Source organism: Homo sapiens, chromosome 19 (genome assembly GCF_000001405.40).
Source record: "Homo sapiens chromosome 19, GRCh38.p14 Primary Assembly".
Classification (NCBI taxonomy): Eukaryota; Metazoa; Chordata; class Mammalia; order Primates; family Hominidae; genus Homo; species Homo sapiens.
Genome location: NC_000019.10, coordinates 54,414,233 through 54,437,900, shown reverse-complemented (window position 1 = coordinate 54,437,900; position 23,668 = coordinate 54,414,233). Strand labels below are relative to the sequence as shown.

At 58.0% G+C, this 23,668-nt stretch overlaps 2 protein-coding genes across 4 annotated transcripts, besides 2 other annotated features; both read right to left on the bottom strand.

The window, feature by feature from the left end:
- Positions 1–996: 996 nt before the first annotated feature.
- On the bottom strand, positions 997–22,437 carry TTYH1 (tweety family member 1). 3 transcript variants are annotated; one of them, NM_001201461.2, is made up of 14 exons: positions 22,223–22,437; positions 18,595–18,773; positions 16,513–16,624; positions 15,491–15,711; positions 11,133–11,228; positions 8,522–8,594; positions 7,944–8,019; positions 7,296–7,351; positions 6,996–7,088; positions 6,710–6,802; positions 2,217–2,359; positions 2,028–2,073; positions 1,730–1,813; positions 997–1,568 (listed from the first exon to the last, which is right to left on the bottom strand). In NM_001201461.2, the coding sequence occupies exons 1-13, from the start codon at positions 22,346–22,348 to the stop codon at positions 1,772–1,774; spliced, it is 1,356 nt and encodes a 451-aa protein (NP_001188390.1). In that variant the 5' UTR covers positions 22,349–22,437; the 3' UTR covers positions 997–1,568; positions 1,730–1,771. The 3 variants fall into 3 exon arrangements, with proteins under 3 accessions (NP_001188390.1, NP_065710.1, NP_001005367.1); NM_020659.4 differs by having other exon boundaries at positions 1,730–1,810; NM_001005367.3 differs by lacking the exon at positions 2,028–2,073 and having other exon boundaries at positions 1,730–1,810.
- Positions 6,756–7,050: an enhancer, noted in NCBI's record as "tiled region #3780; K562 Activating non-DNase unmatched - State 4:PromP". NCBI's record gives its function as "activates a minimal TATA promoter and a strong SV40 promoter by Sharpr-MPRA in K562 cells {active_cell/tissue: K562}" and the evidence as "EXISTENCE:reporter gene assay evidence [ECO:0000049][PMID:27701403]".
- Positions 14,916–15,716: an enhancer, noted in NCBI's record as "H3K4me1 hESC enhancer chr19:54933359-54934162 (GRCh37/hg19 assembly coordinates)". NCBI's record gives its function as "activates a minimal SCP1, AML or CMV promoter by ChIP-STARR-seq in primed H9 embryonic stem cells {active_cell/tissue: H9 hESC(primed)}" and the evidence as "EXISTENCE:reporter gene assay evidence [ECO:0000049][PMID:30033119]".
- On the bottom strand, positions 19,184–20,799 carry LOC124904770 (LIM domain-containing protein A-like). The gene has a single exon (XM_047439797.1). It carries the CDS (start codon positions 20,763–20,765, stop codon positions 19,560–19,562), a length of 1,206 nt encoding a protein of 401 aa, XP_047295753.1. The 5' UTR covers positions 20,766–20,799; the 3' UTR covers positions 19,184–19,559.
- Positions 22,438–23,668: the final 1,231 nt, after the last annotated feature.

Sequence of the window (23,668 nt, the reverse complement as noted above, 5' to 3'; positions counted from 1 at the left end):
TCTCCTGCCTCAGCCTCCCGAGTAGCTGGGCTTACAGACCTGTGCCACCATGCCCAGCTAATTTTTTTTTTCTTTAAGTAGAGACGGGGTTTCACCATGTTGGCCACTCTGCTCTCAAACTCCTGGCCTCAAGGGATCCACCCACCTTGGCCTCTCAAAATGCTGGGATTACAGTCATGAGCCACCGCAGCCAGCCTCTCTCTGTTTTTTGTCTTTTTTTTTTTTTTTTTTTAAGAGGCAGGGTCTTGGCCGGGCGCGGTGGCTCACGCCTGTATTCCCAGCACTTTGGGAGGCCGAGACGGGCGGATCACGAGGTCAGGAGATCGAGACCATCTTGGCTAACACGGTGAAACCCCGTTTCTACTAAAAATACAAAAAATTAGCCGGACGTGTTGGCGGGCGCCTGTAGTCCCAGCTACTTGGGAGGCTGAGGCAGGAGAATGGCATGAACCTGGGAGGCGGAGCTTGCAGTGAGCCGAGATCGCGCCACTGCACTCCAACCTGGGTGACAGAGCGAGACTCCGTCTCAAAAACAAAAAAAAAAAAAAAAAAAGAGGCAGGGTCTTGCTCTGTTGCCCAGGCTGGAGTGCAGTGGCACGATCACAGCTCACTGCTACCTCGAAACGGGCTCAAGCAAGGAGTCTCAGCCTCCCGAGTAGCTGGAACCACAGGCATGCACCACCATGCCCACCCTCCTAATTTCTCTAGAAATTCTTCTGTGCCTTTACTTGCATACATCTAGATCTTCCACCCATCTTATCTATAGAAGTTTTTGGCCAGATGGAGAGCCGATATGTCACTACTGCTGCTAAACCAACCGTCCTTTCCACACTGACTTGAAATCTGTCTTCTGTCATGTGTGTATATATATATATACACACACACACACACACACACACAGTTAGATCTATTTCTAGGCCATCTATTCTGTGCCAGAGATGCCTGTGTCTTCCTGTGTCAGGACACGCGCATTACTTTTAGAATCAGAAGAAAGCGTTTTGTTTTTTGATTTTTTTTTTTTTTTTTTTAAAGAACAATGTCTTTGGACCCCTTGCTGAGCCTGGACAGGCGCAGAAATTCCTGGCAGCTGGGAGGCCGGGGGAGAGAGGACAGCAGGGAGGATGTCCCAGCCCTGGCCAGGAGGCCGAATCAAGGGAGAGGAGAAATAAGGAGGACCCAGCTGCTTGTAAAATAGTCTTCCCTTTTATTTTAAATCAACCCTTTTCCAAGTTAGTGCCACGAGTTGAGATCAGGGGGTCAGAGCCCACTGGGATGTGGCAGGGGCAGCAGGGGGACTCATGTCCCCCACCCCCAGCTTAGTCCCTCCAAGGATGGGACCGGCAGCCAGGGATGAAGGGTGCGAGGCGAGGCTGTCTGCCCCCTCCCCTGCCAGCCCTACTCCCTAGTCTGCCCCCTCAGCTACTCCCAAGGCCAAGGACAGAAATGGGAGCACAGTGGCCAAGAGCAGGGAGGCGGTCCTGTGCAGGCTGTCCATGGCCAAGAGTGTTAGTGGTCAGAGCCCAGGCAGGCTGGGTTAGTGGGGTCTCCTCCGGCAGCCAGGGAAGGAACTGCGGAGAGAGGGAGAGACAGGGCAGTGATGCAGGCTGGAGGGCCTGCCCGGTGCGATCCACCCAGCAGGAGGCACGCAGCCCATGCCTGGAGCAGCTCGGAGGGCGGGAGGGGGGCAGAGGCCCGGCTGCAGGAGCTGGGGTGGCCCTTGGAAGCTCACCGAAGAGGGGAGCCAGGCTCCAGTCCAGCCGGGAGGAGGGGCTCAGATAGACGACTGCCACTGCACAAAGCGCTTGGATTCCTGCTAGGAGATTCGGGGTAGCGGGGGAGAGGAGGGAATGGAGTGGGAATTGGCTTTGTACTGTGGGACCCCAGCCCCTCCTCCCTCAGACCCAGGAGTCCGGGCCCCAGCCCCTCCTCCCTCAGACCCAGGCGGCCAGGCCCTCAGCTCCTCCTCCCTCAGACCCAGGAGTTCAGGACCCCCCGCCCCTCCTCCCTCAGACCCAGGCATCCAGTACCTGAGGGTTGAAAGGGTCGTCATCGTCTGTGTCATCGTAGTCGTCACTGGGGTTTGATGCGGGGCATGGCAGAGAGGCGGGATGGGGACCCATCAGGAGGCTGCACCCCCCACCCCCACTGCCACCGTGGTCCCCAGGTGCTGCCCCTCCTCTTCCCTCCCCAGGACCCTACCCTCCCCCGCTCCTGACCTGGGTGGGAAGAGGGCCCAGGCTCGGGGCAGGCTGCAGAGGGCAGTGGCCAGCGCTCCTGCAGACAGCAGGGAGAAGAGTAGCAGGAAGAGCAGGCCTTCCAGGGCGTCTTCGCACAGGCCCCGCAGGGCTGCACCATAGTCCTGAGGGGAGGGCGTCATCAGGCCATGCGTCCCCACCCCCTCCCCCATCGGCACACACTGTGCACATCAGTCTGACCGTCCTCCCGGCTGTGGTACTGCACACGTCAACTGACCACTCTGTGCCTCAGTTTCCCCTGTCAAAGGGCAGTTCTGAGAATACAGTGGGTACAGTGGGGTCTTTGGTGTGATAGGCCTGGCACTCAGGAATTAATTGCCCAGCCTCCAGACTTGGCTTCTCCTGAGCTGCACCCGCCCTTGTCATTGCAGGCCCCTATCTCCCTTTCACATGGGTCCTCCCCAGTCAGCACCCCACATCTAGAACCAGTCCAGCATCTCCCACCAGCCCTGGGCCCTCTCCTCCATCTTCATCTACCCAGGAACGTGAGAACTGCTACTTCCGTTTCCCTTCTCCCTCCCGGCAGCGGCACCTCCTGCAAGAGCATCCTCCCCTGCACCAAGCGCCCACAGGCCAGCCACCGCCAGCTCCGCCTTGGTCCAGGGGCGAGGGCTTCATAACCTGGGCCCTGCTGACATTTTGAGCCAGATCATTCTCTGTGGTGACGGCGCTGCCCTGTGTGTTGTGGGGTGCTGAGCAGCCCCACTCAGCTCCACCCACCAGATGCCAGGAGCACCCCCTCCTGCAGTGTGACAACCAACAGCAACTCGGCACCCGGCCAGGTGTCCCTGGGGGCAGAACTCCTCACCCAGCCAGGTGTCCCTGGGGGCAGAATCACTGGCCTAGAGCACGTGGAACAGCACGTCGAAAAACCAACCAGTGGCTCAAGATGACACCGCGCACACAATACACACTCAACATGCCAACAAATGCTGGCTCTGATGACTGTCGTCCCAAGAAATCAGCAGAAACGGCCTTCACCGAGTGCTAAGCACCTGCACAGCGTATGTATTCAGTGGGGGTTGACAGAGCCTGCTCTGCCCCAGGCGCTGCCCCCAGTACCAGGAAACTTCGGTAAACAGGACCGAGAAGGTCATCTCAGAGGCTGGTGTGCAACGAGGTAGGAGGGCGGGGGTCAGTGCAGGGCAGGGGTAGGTCGGGTAACCCCACTAGCAGGGATGGGTCCTCCAGGAAGGAGCCAGGCAGAGGGCTGTGCAGAGGAAGCTGGGAGGGGCTGAGGCCAGAGGCAGACAGATCCAGGACTGACCACCCAGGCCCTTGTAGGTCAGGGCGAGGAACAGGGATTTTAATCCATGTCTGAGGGGAATCACTGAGCGTTTTAAGCAGAGGAAGAACTTGATCGGATTGTGTTTTAAAAGGATCACCTGGCTGGCTGGCTGCTGCATGGAGGACAGACGGGGGTAGGCGAGGGGGGACAGGGAAGAGGCCCCTGTGGTCATGGTGGCTAGGATGCGGGGACCAGGGCACAGCAATGGTGGTAGGAACAGCGGTGGGAGTCCATATAGGTTTCAGAGGAAGGGCCAACAGAACTTGTTCTGAGAATGGTTGTGGGAGCTAAGAGCCTGAGTTTCTGGCAGGAGCACCTGGTTGAGGTGGGGTGTCTGTTACTAAGCCAGTGAGGGTTGGGGTACGGACCTGTCGGGGCAATGGAGGCTCTGTTTTGAGAGTATTGGTACATGCACACTGTCCTTCATCCTCACAACAGCCCTGCCAGGCAGACACTGACCCTCTCACGCTGCCGCCTCTTGCAATGGTGGAAAGAAGTTGCAGCCCAGAGAAGGCAAGCTACTTGCCCAGAGTCACACTGTCTGGAAGGGGCAGAAGCGATATTGGAGCTGATTCTCTTAGGCTCCAGTGCCCTCCCTCCTTCATCCTCATCCCTGATGTCCCTTATTGTTGATTTTTTTTTTTTTAATAGAGATGGGGTTTCACCATGTTGGCCAGGCTGGTCTTGAACTCCTGAGCTCAAGGAGTTCTGATCTGCCCCACTGGGCCTCCCAAAGTGCTGGGTTTATAGGCACGAGGCACCCATCCCTAGCCCCCTCCTATTTTTTTTTTTTTTTTTGAGACGGATTCTCGCTCTGTCACCCCGGCTGGAGTGCAGTGGCTCGATCTCAGCTCACTGCAACCTCCACTGCCCAGGTTCAAGCAATTCTCGTGCCTCAGCCTCCTGAGTAGCTAGGAATACAGGGGTGTGCCACCACGCCCGGCTAGTTTTTTTGTATTTTTAGTAGAGATGGGATTTCGCCATGCTGGCCAGGCTGGTCTCAAACTCCTGACCTCTGGTGATCCGCCCACCTTGGTTTCCCAAAGTGCTGGGATTACAGGCGTGAGCCACAGTGCCCGGCCCCGCCGCTTATTCTTGATTTTAATCTGTGAGGACCCTGGCACACTGACAGGGGAGATGGAGACCCAGGGTCTCATGGTGCAGTGGTAGGGAAGGGTAGAGTGATCTGTCCTCTTCCTTCCCTTCCCTCCCTCCACAAAGGAGTCTGGGGGCCTGTATTCCAGCCCAGTTTCTGCCTAGGCCACAGAAAAGCGCCTGAACCCCAGTTTATCCTTATGCAAAAGATCAGGGCAGCCCTGGGCTGGGTGGGGGCCCAGCCTTTCTCAGCTCAATAGTCAGCAATTCTGAGCATGGCTTCAGTGCTTACTCCCCACTCCCTTTTTGGAATGCCAGTTCCAGAAGGGTGGGAGGCAGTGGGAGCCACAGAAGGGGTCTGTCTGAGCCAGACCAGGGAAAGCTCAGATCCATGCGATGGCGTAGACAAATCCCTCTTGGGTAGGGTTGCCAGATCAAATTCAGGACTTCCAGTTACATTTGAGTATCGGATGCCCAATACATAATTTTCTAGTATAAGTATCTCCCCAGCATTGCACCGGGCGTACTTATAGCAGAGTGGTTTGCTGTTTGCTGAATCTGGCAGCCCTATTCTAGGGTCCATGGGGGGATGGATGGGGAGGGGGCCATGCTTCCTTCTGCAGGGGAGAGAACGAGGCCTCAGCTGCGGCAGGGGCATTGGGCATTGAGAGTAGATGGATGAAGACATTCCAGAAGCAGAAAGGACAAAACTGGGCAACTGCCTGGCTGTGGGGGGCAGAGGGCGGGGCCCTCCGGAAGGTCCCTCTCTCCTCAGTGTGCATGGGCTGGCTGGCCGTGTGACCTTGGGAAGGTCCCTCAACTCTGCTCCTCATCTTCTAACCTGTTAGGTGGGATAATCATAGTTCCTTCTTCATAGCATTGTTATGAGGCATCGATGAGTTACCACCTGTGAAATGCAACAGGGTCAGGTACTTGGTGAAGCTATGCACATGTGAGGTCTTTGATGGGAAGACTGGCCGGGGAAAGGCATCCTCGGGTGTGTGTTTTAGAACAGCTCTTACTGGTTTTGTTTGTTTGTTTGTGACAGAGTTTCGCTCTTGTTGCCCAGGCTGGAGTGCAGTGGCACAATCTTGGCTCACTGCAACCTCTGCCTCGTGGATTCAAGCGATTCTCCTGCCTCAGCCTCCCGAGTAGTTGGGATTATAGGCGCCCACCACCATGCCCGGCTAACTTTTTCTATTTTTAGTAGAGACGGGGTATCACCATGTTGGCCAGACTGGTCTTGAACTCCTGACCTCAGGTGATCCACCCGCCTGGGCCTCCCAAAGTGCTGGGATTACAGGTGTGAGCCTCCGCGCCCGGCCAGCTCCTACTGTTTTATAAGGGGATTTTTTTTTTCAATCCTCACAGCCATCCAGTGAAAAAAAAACAAACAAAAAAAACTCGTCCTTCCTCACGGTACGGGTGGGAAGCAGAGTCAGCCACGCTCACCTGCCTATGGCCGTGCAGCCTGCGGCAGAGCCCAAACTGGAGCCTGCAGGACACCAGATATCTTTCCTCCTGGGCACCCTGCCCACCCCTGCCTGTCCAGTGTATGAACAGCACAAGCCGCAGGGGAGCTGGACAGGTGCCCACTCTTGCAATCCCAGGTTTATAAGTGAGGGAACTAACTGAGGTACAGAGAAGTTAGGTGACTTGCCCTTGGTCAGGAGGTAGGACTGGAACCCAGGCAGTCTTGCTCCAGAACTCACTAAGCGGCAGCCTCTAGGAGGGAGGGAGAGGCAGGAGGACGGAGAGAGGAGAGAAGACAAGGAAGGAAAAGGTGGCAGGAAGGGACGGGGAGGGTGGGATGGGGACCCAGCGGGGAGTGCGGGAGTTGGGGGGAAAGGGAGGGAGGAGGGAAGGAATATGGATAATGCTTGATAGGTAGGTAGACGACAGGTTATAAATAGGTAGAGAATAGATATAGGACAGATAAATCATATAAACAGAGGATACAGAGATATCCTCAGGCGCAATGGCAGGGGTCCAAGGAGAAGGAGGAGGTAGTTCTGTGGGTCGAGACAGAGGCCCCCCGTGGGAGAAGAAATTGGGAGGGGAGGGGCTTCACCTTGTGCAGGCTGCGGCAGTGTAGCAGTGCCACCAACTGGTGGAAATTTCCTTCTGTCACATTCAGAGTCTCCTCCAAGGACAGCAGAGGCTTCTGCGGGGCGAGGAGGGGTCGTTTTCCCACGAACTCTTCAGGCCCGCCCATCGCCCTGGCCCCGCCCTGCGTCCCCGCCCACAACCCAAGGCCCCGCCTAGCTCTGCAGCCCCGCCTACGCCCCACAGCTCCATCCCGCCCCGTCCGCCTTCCCCGTGGGGTCCGCGTGTCTGGGGAGCGCCCACCCACCGACCTGCGCTGAAGGGAACTGAGGCACAGCTTCTCGCTCCAGGCCCAGCAGCTGGGAGTGGATGTTGGCCAGAGCTCGCTGGGACAGAGTCAGCCTCTGCAGAAAGAGAAAGGGAGGGAGGAGGACCCAGGAGTATACGCCCCCGGCCCTCTCTCCTCTCCTCCGGACACAGCACTCGGGCCCCTGGCCTGCATCCTCCCCGGAACCCAGGAGTCCAGGCCCCAGCCCCAGCCCCGCCCCCTCCCTTCAGAGTCCAGATTTCTGGCTCCCTCAACACCCGTTTCCCCTGCCCGCAGCCCTAACCTGTTGGAAGGGGTTGGAGACGGCCCGGTTGCAGAGGAGATAATAGCTCAGGATGTCTGAAGTGGGAGGAGGAGAGGGGAGGAGGCCATGAGCCTGGGCCCCCAGGGATCTCCCGGGGGAAGGCCGGGCACTGGGGGGTTAGCAGGGTTAGGGGCCTCAGCCCAGCCCTGGAGCCCGATGGCCTTACCTTCAGAGACCCGCCAGCCCCGCGTCCCTTCTGCTCCTGCCACAGCCAGAGCAGGCGCTGGTGGGCAACCCTATACTCCCTGGGAACCCCTGACTAAATGGTGCTCCCCAGTTTTCTCCAGGGGGCCAAACTCCCCATTCCTGACGCCCAGGAGCACCCTCTCCTGACCCTCCTCTCTCTTCCTGGCACCATTATCTTTATCCTGCCCTCTTTTCCAGCCCACCAGGAGAGGCGCTGCCAGCTGGAGCAGAAGGGATGAGGGTCTGGCGGGTGGCGGGGCTCCAGGAGGGCTCCGAGCTGGGGAGTGGCCAGGAGCCCTGCTTCCCTTCCAGAGGGCTGGGTCTCGCCTGGCAGGCTGCACCCCCACCCCACCCTGGGCAGGACCGGGCACAGAGGAGGCCTGAGGAAGCCAGGGCCTGCACTGCCCAACCCGGCGGACCCACCGGGCCCTTGGAAATCACCTGAGCTGAGCCCTGTCTCCTCCTGGGTCAGGTTCAGAACATAAGGGTCTGGATTGGAGCAGAAGTCACTGAGGCCCTGCGTGAGGCAGCAGAAAAGGGGCTCAAACCCAAAACTGCCCCGATTCCACACTCCCACAGCACCCAGTGCCTGGCTCCCCAGCTCCCCTCCCCACCCAGGGGTCCAGGTCCCAGCCCCTCTTCCCTCAGACTCAGGAGTCCAGGCCCCAGGCCCCTCGTCCCTCAGACTCAGGGGTTCAGACTCTCCAGCCCTTTCTCCCTCAGACTCAGGAGTCCAGGCCCCCAGCTTCTCCTCCCTCACACCCAGGAGTCCAGACCCCCAGCCCCTCCTCCCTCAGACCTAGGAATCCAGGTTTCCAGCCCCTCCTCCATTACAGCTCAAACGTCCAGGACACCAATCTGTACCCACTCAGGCCCCAGGAAACAAGCCCTAAACCTCAGAGCTGTGATCGTGCCCCCCAATTCCTTTCTCTACTAAGCCATGCCATCCCGAGATCCAGAAGTTGAAGTCTCCAGGCCCCCTGAGTCCCAGAGCCCAATGGCCCGGCCCTGGCACTCACCACGGCCGTGGCTGCCTCCAGGCCCATGGAGCCCCAGCTCAGGACGAGAACCAGGAGACTCATGACTGTCATCCTAGAGTGGGGGAGGGAGGATCAGCCCGGGGTTCTTAATCTCCTAGCCTAGCCTCTTTCCACACCCCAAATCCCATCACAGCCGCCCCCCACCTCCACCCACCTCTGGAGCCTGGAGGATCAGAATTAGGGAAACACAAGTTCAGTGGTTGGGGGTAGGCCAGTGGCTGCTGATGTCCAGCTGGACATCTGGCTCCTGCCCAGATGAGCAGGGTGTGGGGTATGAGCAGGGCCCTGGGCTGGGTGGTCGCAGCTTGGATCCCAGCTCCAGGACCCTGGGACGGTGACTGCTCACCTCTGGGCTCACTTCCCCCGAAGGCTCCCCCAAGTCCACCCACAGCCTGATCAGCCTCTGGCTCTGCCCTGTCTCCTCTGAGAATGGGAGACAGTGCCAGGGCTGAAATCTGAAAGTCTCTGGACTTTCCGGGTGGGGAGGGGTGCAGGGGGCGTGTCAGCATTGGTAGGGTGACCAGTAAGCAAGAAGGGCACCCAGGGGTCCCCAAACTGAAGGCCTGGCTTCCAGTCCCAGACCTGCCCTGTGTTGGCTAGGTTTATGGGTCTGCAAGCCTTACGCGGGGTCTCTCCCACTCTCTCAGGGGCAATGGAGGTACAGGTTCAACTCTGCCTCACCCCACCAGGGCCAGAGAGAATGCAGGGACTCCTCCAATGAGAATGGCCTGTCTGGTTCAAATCCCAGCTCTAGCACTTCTAGCTGTGTGGCCCTGAGCAAGTGGTCCAACCTCTCTGATCTTCAGTCTCTCCCTCTGTTAAACAGGGAGAAGGGCCAGGCATGGTAGCTCATGCCTGTAAACCCAGTACTTTGGAAGGCTGAGGCAGGCTGATCACTTGAGGCCAGGAGTTCGAGACCAGCCTGGGCAACATAGCAAGACTCCATCTCTACAAAAATATACAAAACTTAGGCCAGGCACGGTGGCTCATGCCTGTAATCCAGGCACTTTGGGAGGCTGAGGCGGGCGGATCACCTTAGGTCAGGAGTTTGAGACCATCCTGACCAACATGGAGAAACCCCATCTCTACTAAAAATACAAAATTAGACAGGTTTGGTGGCATACGCCTGTAATCCCAGCTACTTGGGAGGCTGAAGCAGGAGAATTGCCTGAACCCAGGAGGCAGAGGTTGCAGTGAGCCAAGATCGCGCCGCTGAACTCCAGCCTGGACAACAAGAGCCAAATTGCAGCTCAAAAAAAAAAAAAAAAAAAAAAAAAAACTTAGCCGGGAGTGGTGGCATAAGCCCATGGTCCCAGCTACTCTGGAGGCTGAGGTGGGGGGATCACTTGAGCCTCAGGGGACAGAGGCTGTAGTGAGCCGTGATCATGCCACTGCACTCCAGTCTGGGCAACAAAGCAAGACCTTCTCAAAATAAAAAACAGAAATAAAAAACAGGCAGAAGGAAGCACCTTCCTCACAGGGGGCATGAGGTGCTCCAGGGAGTGCAGAGAAGAGTGTCGGGCGCGTAGAGCGAGCTGTGAAATCAGTGTGGTCCTGCGGCTTTGCCACGACACTTAAGGACGGCTCAGTCTTGGACTTGGCCACCCTCTGCGCTCTTAGTCAGGTCCCTGACCGGCCACATGGAGCCTTATGGTAGCTCCTTCATGGGGTGGAGGCAACTGAAGGACTCAGCGTGCATGACCCTCAATAGATCATCATCCTCATCTGTTTTTTTTTTTTGTTGTTGTTGTTTTTGAAATGGAGTCTCACTGTGTCGCCCAGGCTGGAGTGCAGTGGTGCAATCTCAGCTCACTGCAAGCTCCGCCTCCCGGGTTCAAGCGATTCTCCTGCCTCAGCCTCCCGAGTAGCTGGGACTATAGGCGCCCGCCACCACGCCCGGCTAATTTTTGTATTTTTAGTAGAGATGGGGTTTCACCGTGTTAGCCAGGATGGTCTCGAACTCCTGACCTCGTGATCCGCCCTCCTCGGCCTCCCAAAGTGCTGGAATTACAGGCGTGAGCCACCACGCCCAGCCTTTTTTTTTTTTTTTTTTTTTTTTTGAGATGGAGTGTCACTCTGTCGCCCAGGCTGGAGTGCAATGGTGTGTGATCTTGGCTCACCACAACCTCCACCTCCTGAGTTCAAGCGATTCTCCTGCCTCAGCCTCCTGAGTAGCTGGGACTACAGGCGCATGCCACCACACCCAGCTAATTTTTGTATTTTTAATAGAGACAGGGTTTCTCCATGTTGGTCAGGCTGGTCTCAAACTCCTGACCTCATGATCCACCCACCTCGGCCTCCTAAAGTGCTGGGATTACAGGTGTGAGCCACCGCGCCTGGCCTCATCCTCATCTTTATTGCCAACACAATGATTATTTCTGCCATGATTCCAGCATACTTCATACTGTTAGGGCTGCCTGTTTTCAGGTCTGTCCCCGCCTCCCTCCTGGGCTGCTCTGACTCTCTTTTCTTCGTGTGTACCCGGCCGTGAAGGACCACGGTCCTCCGTGTAGGAGAGTTGTAAGACTGAGGTCCTGCCTGCCAGGAGAGTGCCAGGCAAGCACTGGGTCCCCCTACTGCCTGCACTTACACGATCACCAGCCACTTGCTCTGCTTCGCCAGGCCCAGGAGGGTGAAGAGGCAGACCAGCAGCTCCAGGAGCAGCAGGAGGACGTAGGCCAGCCACCTGGGAGGGGAGAGGGTAGGGCTGAAACCACAAACCTGCCTCCAGGCACCCCGGCGGAACAGCAACCCTCCACCAGCATTCACCCTGCCCCCCAGCTCAGCCTCACATTCACCACCCTCCAAGCTCAGCCTCCTGCTGTTTACTGTGTCTGGGCCACAGCCCAGGTCCTCTGTGAAATAGTGTTATCATGAGACAGGACACTGGAGCGGTTTAGAATACAGGTCCTGAGCACCTGGGACTATCCCCTGGCCGGGCCACACACATGTGCCCTGTGACCAGGGACACGTGATGTGTTCTCTCCGAGCTCCCCATCCCCAACCCCACCCTGCAGAGTGGAGATACTCGTTCTCAAGACTGCACCAAAGATCCCATCGCATCCCTGGAGGGCATGACGTCTGGAGGCAGAGGCTGCCTGGTCTCAACCCCAGCCCCTCCGCTTAACTGGCCGGGTAACTCTTGTCTCGGTAACCTTAGCCTCTCGTTCCTCAGTTTCCCTACATGTAACGTGGGGAGCACAACAACACTGGCTTGAGAATATTGCCTCGAGTGGGCTGCATGACTAGAAGTGCTTAGGAGAGTGCCAAGCACGTGGACACACTTAGAGGTTAGCCTGAGCGTGAACGAGGGAACTGAGATGTTAGTTAATAGTTAATACTTGGCCGGGCGAGGTGGCTCACGCCTGTAATCCGCGCATTTTGGGAGGCTGAGGCAGGCGGATCACTTGAGGTCAGGAGTTTGAGACCAGCCTGGCCAACATGGTGAAACCCCGTCTTTACTAAAAATACAACAATTAGCCGGGCGTGGTGGTGCACGCCTGTAATCCCAGCTACTTGGGAGGCTGAGGCAGGAGAATCATTTGAACCCATGAGGTGGAGGTTGCAGTGAGCCAAGATTGCACCACTGCACTCCAGCCTGGGCGACAAGAGTGAGACTTAGTCTCAAAAATGAAAAAAAAAAAAAGTTAATCCTTAAATATCAGTGAAGGGCCCACCACCATGATTCAGGAGGTGCAAGCATGCAAGCCACAGTGAGAGACAGGACTAGCTGGATGTCCGAGGCCGACTAATAATCCCTAAGCCTAGCTGGGAAGGTGACCGCATCCACCTTTAAACACGGGGCATGCAATTTAGCTCACACCCAACCAATCAGGTAGTAAAGAGAGCTCACTAAAGTGCTAGTTAGGCAAAAATAGGAAGTAAAGAAATAGCCAATCATCTATCACCTGAGAGCACAGGGGAAGGGACAATGATCTGGATAGAAACCCAGGCATTCCAGCCAGCAACGGCTACCCACTTTGGGTCCCCTCCCGTTGTATGGGAACTCTGTTTTCACTCTATTAAAACTTGAAACTGCACACTCTTCTGGTCCGTGTCTGTTACGGCTTGAGCTGAGCTTTCGCTCGCCGTCCACCACTGCTGTTTGCCGCCGTCGCAGACCCGCCGCTGACTTCCACCCTCCGGATCCGGCAGGGTGTCCACTGTGCTCGTGATCCAGGGAGACACCCATTGCCGCTCCCAATCGGGCTAGAGGCTCGCCATTGTTCCTGCACAGCTAACTGCCTGGGTTCATCCTGATCGAGCTGAACACTGGTCGCTGGGTTCCACGGTTCTCTTCCGTGACCCACGGCTTCTAATAGAGCTAAAACACTCACCGCAGGGCCCAGGATTCCATTCCTTGGAATCCGTGAGGCCAAGAACCCCAGGTCAGAGAACACGAGGCTTGCTGCCCTCTTGGAAGTGGCCACCACGATCTTGGGAGCTCCGGGAGCAAGGACCCGCCGTAACAACAGCACAGTGCCCGGCACGTAGTAAGTGCTCAGTTAATCCTCCTGCCATTCTCTGCAGGCCCCACAAGCTTGGGCTTCACTCCTTACCCTGGTCTCTGGCTGCTTCCGCCCAGCCTCGCAAGTGCTCCCCTCCAGCAAGACTCCCTTGGAGGCCCCTGATTTGTCTGTCGAGGGACTCCCAAGTGTGGGGTGCTTTCGCAGTGGTGCACCCGGAAGATATTTTCTAGTGATGGTGGGTCTGCCTCACCCTGGCATCACCCTTATGGCTCCCACCACTTCCCTGCCCTCGCCCAGGAGAAGGAGCTGAGGCCCGGCTTGTGCAGCCCCTGGGCCTGACCACAATGCAGAACCTGGACTTCTTCAAACCCAGGCCTGTCTGTCTCTTGCACCTGCTGCCCTGCGGGTGTGTCCTGACCTCCAGCTTTTTCAGCCCCAGTCGGCCTTCCCCGCTGGAGCGCAGCATCCCGGAAGGCCTCCCAAATCTCAGCGCATGCCCCGCGGGCAGGGCCTCCAGCTGACGTCGGATAAATGAATGAATGAATGAATGATTACTAATGGTCAAAGCAATGAGGACACCGTCATGGTGGCCGCTGGGAAGGGTGGCTGCCTGGACACTGCACAGCTCACTGCCTCCTCTCCTCCAAATGCCACCTTCTCAGTCCCCCTGATGAACTGCCAGACTCTGTCCCACCTCATCTCCCTCTATAATTTTCTTTTTTTTTTTTTAAGACGGATTCTCGCTCCGTCACCCAGGCTGGAGTGCAGTGGCACGATCTCTGCTCACTGCAAGCTCCACTTCCTGGGTTCAAGCGATTCTCCTGTCTCAGCCTCCCAAGTAGCTGGGACTACAGGCGCCCACCACCACGCCCGGCTAATTTTTGTATTTTTAGTAGCGACGGGATTTCACCGTGTTAGCCAGGATGGTCTCGATCTCTTGACCTCGTGATCCGCCTGCCTCGGCTTCCCAAAGTGCTGGGATTACAGGCGTGAACCACCGTGCCTGGTCCCCTCTGTAATTTTCTCCAAAGTTCTCATGGCCCAACACCTTACAATGTTTTTCTCTGCGTTTGTCCCTTGCTGGTTCCCCCCGGAGGACGCAGCCACGTGGCAGGGATTTCTGCCACTTGCTCACTGCCCGGCCCGCCACCGGGGTGACTACACTTCATATCTCTGCGGTGCTCTCCCTGTGCTAATCGTCCTTCTCAGCACTCAGATGCCAACTCAACAACTCGAACCAATTCAACAAGGGGGACGCTGCCCCGATTCCCATTTCACAGATGGGGAAACCAAGGCAGAGGTCTGCAAAGTAACTTGATTGCAGCCGCGTGGTTAGGGTGGGGCTGGCTGGCTTTCGAGCTCAGGTTCCTGATCTGTAGGTACGCTGCCTCTTTCACCAGAGGGTGCTAAATAAATAGTGCTGAACAACACTTTGAGAGGCCAAGGCGGGCAGATCACAAGGTCAGGAGTTTGAGACCAGCCTGGCTAACATGGTGAAACCCCGTTTCTACTAAAAATACAAAAATTAGCCGGGCGTGGTGGCGCCTGCCTGTAATGCCAGCTACTTGGGAGGCTGCGGCAGGAGAATCGCTTGAATCCAGGAGGCGGAGGTTGCAGTGAGTCGAGATCGCACCGCTGCACTCTAGCCTGGGCGACAGAGTGAGACTCCATCTCAAAAAAAAAAAAAAAAATAGTGCTGAACAAATACACATGTCACACGGATGAACGACTGAGTGAGTGGCCTGCTGGGTTAGTCCAGGAGTAACTGAGTCCAAGAGTGACTTGCTGAATGAGTGAGTCAAGGAATGAACGCATGTGTGAATAAGTGAGTGGAGTGACGTGGAGGGGGTGAGTGAGTGAATGGGTGAGGACATGGGTGTCAGGATGGCCATGGGGTCTGGTGATCTGTCCCTCCACAGTAGGTTTCTCAACCTCATCTTTTTTTTTTTTTTTTTTTTTTTGAGATGGAGTCTCACTCTATCGCCCAGGCTGGAGTGCAATGGTGAAATCTCGGCTCACTGCAACCTCCATTTCCCGGGTTCAAGGGATTCTCCTGCCTCAGCCTCCTGAGTAGCTGGCATTACAGACATCTGCCGCCACGCCCAGCTAATTTTTGTATTTTTGGTAGAGACGGGGTTTCTCCACGTTGGCCAGGCTGGTCTCAAACTCCTGACCTCAGGTGATCCACCCACCTTGGCCTCCTAAAAGTGCTGGGATTACAGGCCTGAGCCACCGCGCCTGGCCAGCCTCGTCATAATTGTCATGGTGGCTGGATCATTCCCTGCCAATGGGTGGGGAGGGGGTTCTTGTGCATTGCAGGGTGTTGAACAGTTCCTGGGCTCTACCCATTGGATGCCAGCAGTGCGCACACACTCCCCAGCTGTCACAACCAAAACTGCCTCCAGGCATTGCCAACTGTCCCCCCGGGGACTCCGCCTGAGAGCTGCCGGCACAGAGAGCAAGAAGAGCAGCGTCTCACCTGTACTCCTCCACAAAGGACACATTTTCAGCCACCTGCAGGGGGCTCAGGGGCACTCCCTGCCAGAAGGCCAGCCCCTGCAGCTGCTGGGCCGCAGCCTCCGCCTGCCGTCGAGCCCCTCGGGCGGCAGCCACCAGCTCCGTGCGCGGCTCGAGCACCTCCTCCAGGGTGGTCAGCTCTGTCCTCACCGCCTCGCCCAGCCTCTCCACCGTCTCCAACACCTGGGGATAGGACAGGGGCTGAGGTCTGGAAGGACATCCTGGGGGGAGCCCGCGGTCGAGGCATGGGGTTTTAGAAGTGAAGGAGGGGTGCATAGTAGCGGGTGTCTGAGATCTGGAGTCTGGGACATCTGAGGATTGAGTAAGGGAAGGGATTGGGGAGGGGCTTCAAGATCAAGTTCATGGAGTTCTGTGGCCTCTATCCAGAGCTCTGGATGGTTGGTAGCTTGAGCCCAGGGTAGTAAGTCCAGCCCCAGGACTGAGATTAAGTGTGGAGCTTTAGGTCTGAAGTTTTCATCTGCCTTCCAGAATCTGGGGTCTCAAGTCTGGGTCCCATGGTCTAGAGTCTGCAGCTGGACATGGAATCTAAGGCATGAAGTGGGGCCAGGCCTCAGCCCCAGGGCCCAGAATCCTGGAGCTGATGTCGGAGCTGAAGCCTCAAGTCGGGGACCTGGGCCTCAGGGCGGGGGTCCCTGAGCTTGCTTACGGGCCAAGAATCAGGTCTGGGGCCCTGGATCTGGCCCGTGGACAGGGGCTGGTGTCGCTGGTGCTTGGTTTCTGTGTGGCTTGGGGGTTCCAGGTAAGGTCCAGGGCTGGGCCTGTGTGTGAGGTCCTCAATTTGCAGCCAGGGTCGGGGGTTGGGTGGATAGTCTGAGGTCTGTGGGTCTCAGGATGAAGTTCTGAATCTGGGTTCCTAAGCTTCAAGCCTGGGGTCTTAGCTCTGAGTTTGGATCCCTTTGTCCTTGGGTGTGGGGAGCCCGTCCAGGTGTGGGTCTGGGGTCCCACTGGTTGCTGGCCCCTCACCAGGTGGTCAATGGTGCTGAGTGTGTGGTTGGCGTGCAGCAGCGCAGAGCTGAGCTGGGACACCCCATCACTGGTCTCACTGTTGCCATAGAAACCGATGCCAATGCCAGTGCTGAGCGGAGGAGGAGGGAGAGGAATCTCAGCGGGTCCCAGGACCCCGGGGGCCACCGTCCCCTCCCACCCCATCCCCTCCACCTCGCCTTCTTATCCACCCCTCCCATCTCAGCCCCACCTCATTGGGCCAGCCCGTGGGAAAAGGGCGACTTCAGCCTGGCCCCCGTCGGTTGCCAAGGGAACGGGAAGGCCTCACTCCCCCAGCGGAGGGACGTCATTGTGATGTTAATGGTGGGTGGAGTGGTGGGGGGGAGGGAGCCCCCGATTTAACTCGCACCTCCCTGGAGCAGAACCCCAGTCACACCCAGCTCCGGGATGGGCCGTCTTCCCCTCCCTAGGACTGCCTGCCCCACACCCTTCCCCCGCATCCTTTGCCAGGCAGGCAGCCCTCCTGGCACCTGTCCTAGGGTGCCCTAGGGTCCTTGGGGCCTGCAGTGCCAACCCTTCAGTGCTGAGACGTTCTCCGCCCCCACCTCCTGGGGGTTCCTAAGGGTACAAGGGGGGCAGCTGCCACCATCTCCTGGGGGGACGCTGAGCCTGGAGCTCTCGGCCTTCCCCCACCCGGGACCCAAGCGTCGGGCCAGCTGGGAGGGAAGTAAGGGAATGTGGGAGGGAGGCTGGAGGATGGGCGAGAAGCCGTGCCCCCGCCCCCACCCTACCGACACACAGAGCTCCATTGTGGGACCTGAATGTGGGGCCCCAGACCCCTCCCGTCCCCGCCCCCGGCCGGTGTCCCGCAGTGGAGGGGGCGGGAGCCTGACACCCTCCCGGTTCCCAGCCCCGGCTGGGCCTCCACCCCCATCCCTCGGGTCGGACGCCCAGTGTCCCCGCCCCATTGTTCAGAGTCCTACAAAGCTCCTCTTGTTCCCAGGCTGCGGGGGCTGGGGCCGTGTCTCTCCCCCACTGGGCCTTTGTCCACCTCCCCTGTCTCCCCCCACGCCAGAGAGCCGGAGGAGGAAGCGTCCTGAATACAGGCCACCCCTACAGGTCCCTCCCCTTGCCCGCTGTGGGTCCGGGGCAGGCGTCTGGCCCTCTGGGACCCCCCGTCTGTGGAAGAGGATTGCTGTCTGCAACCTGTGGGTGCTGCCCTGCCGGGGAGGGGGCTGTGCTCAGAGCTCGTTCTTGGTAGCTGGTGTGTTCACATTGGAAGCCCCCTAAGCTCGCTTTGAGGGGTGTGAGGGGGTCCTACTAACCTGGGTCTGAATCTCTGTGCTGCCTCTTAAGCCACGTGGCCTTGAAAGGTGACCTCCCCTCTGTCCCTGAGCCTTCCTCTTTGGAAACTGGGCCTGACACCCCTGAATCCAGCAGCATTATTGTGAGAAGGAATTAGACCAGCTCAGGTCTGGGCACAGATGAGGTGCTCTTGGAGGGTGATTATATCTATTTATCGTCCGTCTCCCTGATTAGAACATAAGCTGCACGAGGGGCTCCTTGCCTGGCTTGGTCAGTATCTGGCACATAGTAAATACTCAATAAACAGTTGTCGAATGAATGAGCTGGTGAATGACGGAATGACAGACATCACCAGTTAATGTTGGCTGAGAGTAGCTGCAAGTCAGACACTGTGCTTTCTCTCCATCTTACCCCCGCAGGAGGTGGGCGAGATGATAATGCCCAGTTTACAGATGTGGAAATTGAGGCCCAGGGAGACTATCACTCCCTTAGGTCACACAGCTATTCAATGGGAGAGCCACCAAAACCAGGCCATCTGACTGCCCCTGCGCCTTCTCACCAGATGGCTGCCCTTGATTCACTTCCTCTCCAGAGCCTCACTTTCTCCATCCATCAAATGGGACAGTCCTTCCTGCTGTGCGCTGAAGTGGGCTTGCAAATGGCAGGGACAGGGACGAGGGAGTTTCCTCCTTCCTGTCTGCTTCCTCCATGTCCCCGGAGGACACCCCCAGGAAGGCCAGCAAAGAGCTTGGGGAGCCCTGTCCCCACCGCCCACCCACCCTGGGGCCCCATTACCAGCCGGCGAGAAGGGCGACAATGCAGCTCCAGGTGACGCAGCCTCCCCCGGGCGAGGGGATCTTGGACCCGGGGGGCTCGGGGGGCCGGCAGCAGCAGAAGCGGATGAGGTAGACAGCGATGAAAATGAGGCTCAGGCCCAAGCCCAGGCCCGCCAAGGCCGCCACCAGCAACAAGGCCTGGGGAAGGGGGTGACATCAGACCTCCGAGGGCACCCGTGTGTTCCACACTCAGATCCCCCTTCCTGCGTGGCTGGGGGGTCGGGGTCTGGGATGTCAGAGTGAAGGTGGGAGACATCCCTGGCCTAATCTTGGGGGAGATTGGGTCCCAGCCCCTCCCAGGCTGGCAGCTGGGGCTCCAGGTGTCAGGGCCAGCTTGCTGGAGGGAGCTTCCAACTGGGGGCCCCAAGCCTTGGGTCCCAATTCTGCTCTGCCCTCCATTGGCTGTGCAATCTTTAGCAGGAACCGCCCCTTCTCCGAGCCTGGGTTTCCTTCTCTCTGCAGCCAGCAGTTGGAATGGAGGTTTTCCCAAGGACCTGCCAAGGCCCCTCCACAATCGTGTGGGATCAGGGGGCGGGTGGGGGTGTGGGGGCACCTGTTCCTGGTGCCTCGGGCCAGGCTGGGGGAGGCGTGCTTCCTCCCCCTCTCCTCCCTGCTCACTGTCTCCCCTGCTGCTGAGCGCTACACCCCACAGCGCCTGAGCTTGTCACCCAGGGACGGGACGAGGGGCTGTGTGGCAACGTGTGTGTGTGTGTGTATGCAAGACTCAGAAATGGAAACTGGAAGAGTGAAGACAGAACAGAAAGAGAGAGAGAGAGAGATGGAGGGAGGCACAGGCAGAAAGACACAACCAAAAAAAGAGACAAAGATAAGACAAGGTTCGGGCATGAGTCAGAAAAAGGCAGAGAGCAAAAGGGATCAAATCAGAGAGGAAGAGCAGAGTAAGGGAGAGAGAGCGTGAGAACACTATGGAGACGGGAGAGACACACAAGGACAGAGAGGCGGAGAGAGCCAAGGCCCGGAAGACAGGCAGGCCGCGGAAACGTTCTGCGGTGGGCAGAGCCTTGCAGAATAACAGGGCTCTCCACGTGGCGGGGATTTCACAGCTGACCTGTGCGGTCCCAGAGGCCCACAGTGGCCCAGGGGGTTTGCACTGAGCCCCGGAGCATGGAGGGACAACATTGGGATCAGAGTCACACCTCTGGACTTGCCAAGGCTGTTTCCCCTAAACCACGGTGTTTCTGCCTTTGTCCACACACATACACACACACAGTGGCACAGTGTGTGTGTGTGTGTGTGTCCCAAGTGTGTGCAGTGTTTGTGTTTCTGGTTGAGACTGGATGTTTTTATCTTTGGGCTGTCTCCATGAGATGAGGGGGCACCTGAGTGTGTCTCCTGGGTGCACTGCTGTCTGCAAATGAGAACATCTGTGGGCATTTGTGTGTTCTGGGCACAGTTCCTTGGGCCTGTGAGTGGGTCCGGTTGTGTGTGTGTAACAGTGTGGATGAGTGTGTGTGTGGATGCGTGACTGCATGTGAGTGTGTGTGTGCACATGAATGCTATAGTCAATATGTGTGTGCATGTGTGTGTAGATGTGAATGGAATGTACGTGTGTGTGTGTATGGGAGTATAAACGTGTATGTGACGGTGCATGCATGAGTGTGTAAGCATATATATATAAGTGCAGTGTGTGCTTGTATATGGGAGTAAATGCTTATACATGTGTATGTGTGTGTTGTGAGTCACTGTGCGCAATGTGCGTGTGCATATGTGTGATTGTGTATGTGTAAGTGGGTATATCCATGTGAGTGTATGCATGTGTCTATATGCGTGTGTTGTATGTGGGTGTGAGTGCATAGCGGGAGTAGTAAATGGGTATGTGTGTGTGCATATGTGAGTGTGTAATGAGAGTAGGTGGGCGTGTGTGTGTACCTGTGCATATGTGTGTGTGCATGTGTGTAATGAAAGTAAGTGGGCGTGTCTGAGTGTGTGCATGTGAGTGTGCATGTGAGTGTGTAATGGGAGTAAGTGGGTGTGTCTGAGTGTGCCTGTGCATATGTGTGTGCATGTGAGTGTGTTGGAATAAGTGGGCGTGTCTGGGTGTGCCTGTGCATATGTGTGTGCATGTGAGTGTGTAATGGGAGTAAGTGGACGTGTGTGTGTGCTGTGCATATGCCAGTGAGTGTGTGCGTGTGGCTGTGTGCCTCCCCCGGGCCAGTGTCCCTGAGGCCCTGGCTGTGTCTGCAGCTGTACCCACGGTGGTCGCGTCCCTGCAGGGGTCCCCCTTGCCCTCCTCGGCTGTGGGGCTCTGCCCGCGCATCCCTGCCACCCTGACCCTGACCCCCGACCGTGGGGGCGGAGTGAGGCTCCCCCAAACCCGTGCCTCTGGCGGTGACTGGGGCCGCGGATCCCCGCGTGCGGCTTCGGGAGGTCTCCGGGCCAGAGCGGGCGTGAGTCTGGGCCGAGGCCGGAGCCGGTGGAGCGGCGTTGTTGGAGGTGGCCGTTGTGTAACCGCGAGGCTGTGGGCGAGGGGACGGCGGTCCCCGTGTGTGGGGAGAGGGGGCGGCGAGGAGCAGGCGGGGAAGAGCTGCTCAGGGCTGTGCCAGCCGTGACCCAAATAGCTCAGAACACAGCACTCATCCCCTCCGCGCTTTTCTGGGACCCCCTCCACGCCCCCTGAGCTCTCCAATCCCAGCCCCCTTCTCCCAGGAGCAACCCAAGACGGAGCCCAGGGGCTCAGGCCCCATCAGCAGGGCCAGGACCCGTCCTGGGGCCACATCGGGACTCCCAGCACCCCCACCCGTCCCCAGCTCAGCCAAGCCTTTCTCCTCATTAATCTCGAAGTCAAGGACTTGAATTAAACTGGGTCAGGGGACAGCTCTTTCGCCCATTGGAGCTGCCCCGAGCCGGGCCCCTTCCCCAGGGACACCGGCTTCTGTGAGGTTCCCACACCGGCCCCACCCTCGGGACCCGGGTCTGTCATCCCGAGGCTCCCCAAACCCAGCCTCATCTCGGCCCTCACCCCTGCAGCGCCCTGACCACCCCTTCTTTCTTGGGACGGGCAAGAAGCTTCCTCTCCCAGAGCCCCTTCATTTTCCAGCCCTGGTCCTCAGCCCCTGAAGCCCCCTTCCCCATTTCAGACTCTCAATCCCATCCCAGCACCGCAGCAGCCAGCGTTTTCCCCGCCACCGTTATCAGGTCCGCTGTCTCCTGGGTCCCACCTTATCTGGGACATATTCACCTGCTCTGATCCTGTGGGGCAGGGTCATCTTTTAGGGCAGGAAGAGTAGACCTACCCTCCCGATGACCCTGGAGGCCGGCTTCCCAGGCAGGTATCAGACACCCGGGAATCCGGGCCCCCCTCCCCTCCTCTCCATGAACTCAGGGGTGCAGGTCCCCAGCCTTCCCTTATTTAGAGAGCTCGAGGTCTGGACCCCCAGCGCGCGTCCCAGGAGAACCTCCAGGCATGGGCGCCCCCAGGCTCCTCCTCCCTCCGAAACCCCAAAGTCCGGGCCGGCCCCCAGCCTCCGGCGGAGCTCAGGAAATCTGTGACCCAGCCCCCTTCTCCCTCGGGACCCAGGAGCTCCGGCCCCCAGCCCTGGCCCCCAGGCCCTGGCGCCCGGTCCCACCTGCTGGTATTCCTGCTCTTGGGGCGCGAAAACGCTGGGCACCGGGCGGAGCTGGAAGTCGGCGCGGGGCAGCTGGTGGAGGAGATGCACCCAAGCTGAGGGCCGGTAGCCCGGGGGCGCCCCCATGGCCCCCGGGGGAGGGGGCAGCGGGGCGGACGCCGGGGCTGCGGGAGCCTCCGGAGTCGAGCGGGGCGCGGGCGGCGCGGGGTCTGGCTGGGCTCAGGGGAGCGGGAGCGGGGGGGAGGCAGGGGGTGGGGGGCGGAGATTGGGGGGAGGGAGGCGCGGGCCGGGCGGGGACGGTGCTGCCCCTGGTGGTCGCGGCGGGGACTGCGGGAGTCGGGAGGCCCCCAGCGCTCCGCGCCCCACCCCGGTCGCGGCTCCCACCTGCTGCCCGCGCAGGTACCGCGCTGCTGGCGTCGGCGGCATCCGGACAGCTGGCTTGCATCGCGATTGAAATCAGCCCTCCTTGTCCATACGAGGCCACTCATACTGTTATTTCACCTAAAACATAATGATCCCTTTATCCTTATGGAGAAACTTCATGTCTGTGTAAAGGTTGCTAGTAAGTACAGAGCGTTTTACAAAGAACGGCCAATTCCATGGATAAGAAGTCCTCTGTGTACGAAAGTGCTCCCACCTGTAAAAGATGCCCGTATTTGTGTAAAATCTCCGTCCCACTTTTATTCCTAGCCTGCATAAGGACACAGCTTCTAAGCACAAACACTCCTATGTGTAGAGGCTACTCCAGAATGTATGGAAAAATCCACACGCCTGTGTAGCAAGCCTTCATGCTGCATAAGGACCCCTTCTACCTGCATAAGGACCCTGGTCATCTATATAGGGGCCCTTCCCATCCTGTAAACTGACTCGGGATTACTTCGGTGTATACAAGGACCCCTGCCCCTTGGCATTCGCCATACAGTTACAGAGTATTTTTCCAGCCACTCCCCATGTTACATCTCACTGGAATCCTCCGATGCCACACCGATAGATGGGGAAGTGCCAACCCTGGGAGGGGACCTGGCCACCCTGACATCATCACCCAGACTGTCACTATTGCAGCCAAAACTAGGTGCTCAGGAATCTGGCCCCAGGGGTCCCCTCTTGCTGTAGGGCAGGGTGAGACTTTGCCATCTGGAAACCACACACGTGGCCTCTCTTGTGGGAATTGGGATGAGTGGAAGAAAGGGAGATTAGTTCTCCACTTAACCCATTTCCATATTTTGCTCCAGATTGGCAAGAAAGGGCTAGGGAAAAGAGGAATGCTGGTGGTAGCGGAGGTGGTGGTGATGACGATGATGGTGGTGATTATGTTGGTGATATGATGTCATGATGATGGTGATGGTGGTGATGGTGATGATGATGGTGGTGGTGGTGTTGATGATGGTGATGGTGATGATGATGATGATGGTGAAGACATGATTATGTTGACATGTCATGATGATA

Excerpts from the sequence above, each read along its gene's own strand:
- LOC124904770 (XM_047439797.1), bottom strand. The coding sequence starts at position 20,765 with ATGCACAGCACACACACACGTCCACTTACTCCCATTACACACTCACAT.
- TTYH1 (NM_001005367.3), bottom strand. The coding sequence starts at position 22,348 with ATGGGGGCGCCCCCGGGCTACCGGCCCTCAGCTTGGGTGCATCTCCTC. Across the intron at positions 16,625-18,594 it reads GTCGCCCTTCTCGCCGGCTG|CACTGGCATTGGCATCGGTT; the intron begins GTAATGGGGCCC and ends TCCTCCGCTCAG. Across the intron at positions 15,712-16,512 it reads TCAGCACCATTGACCACCTG|GTGTTGGAGACGGTGGAGAG; the intron begins GTGAGGGGCCAG and ends TCCTATCCCCAG.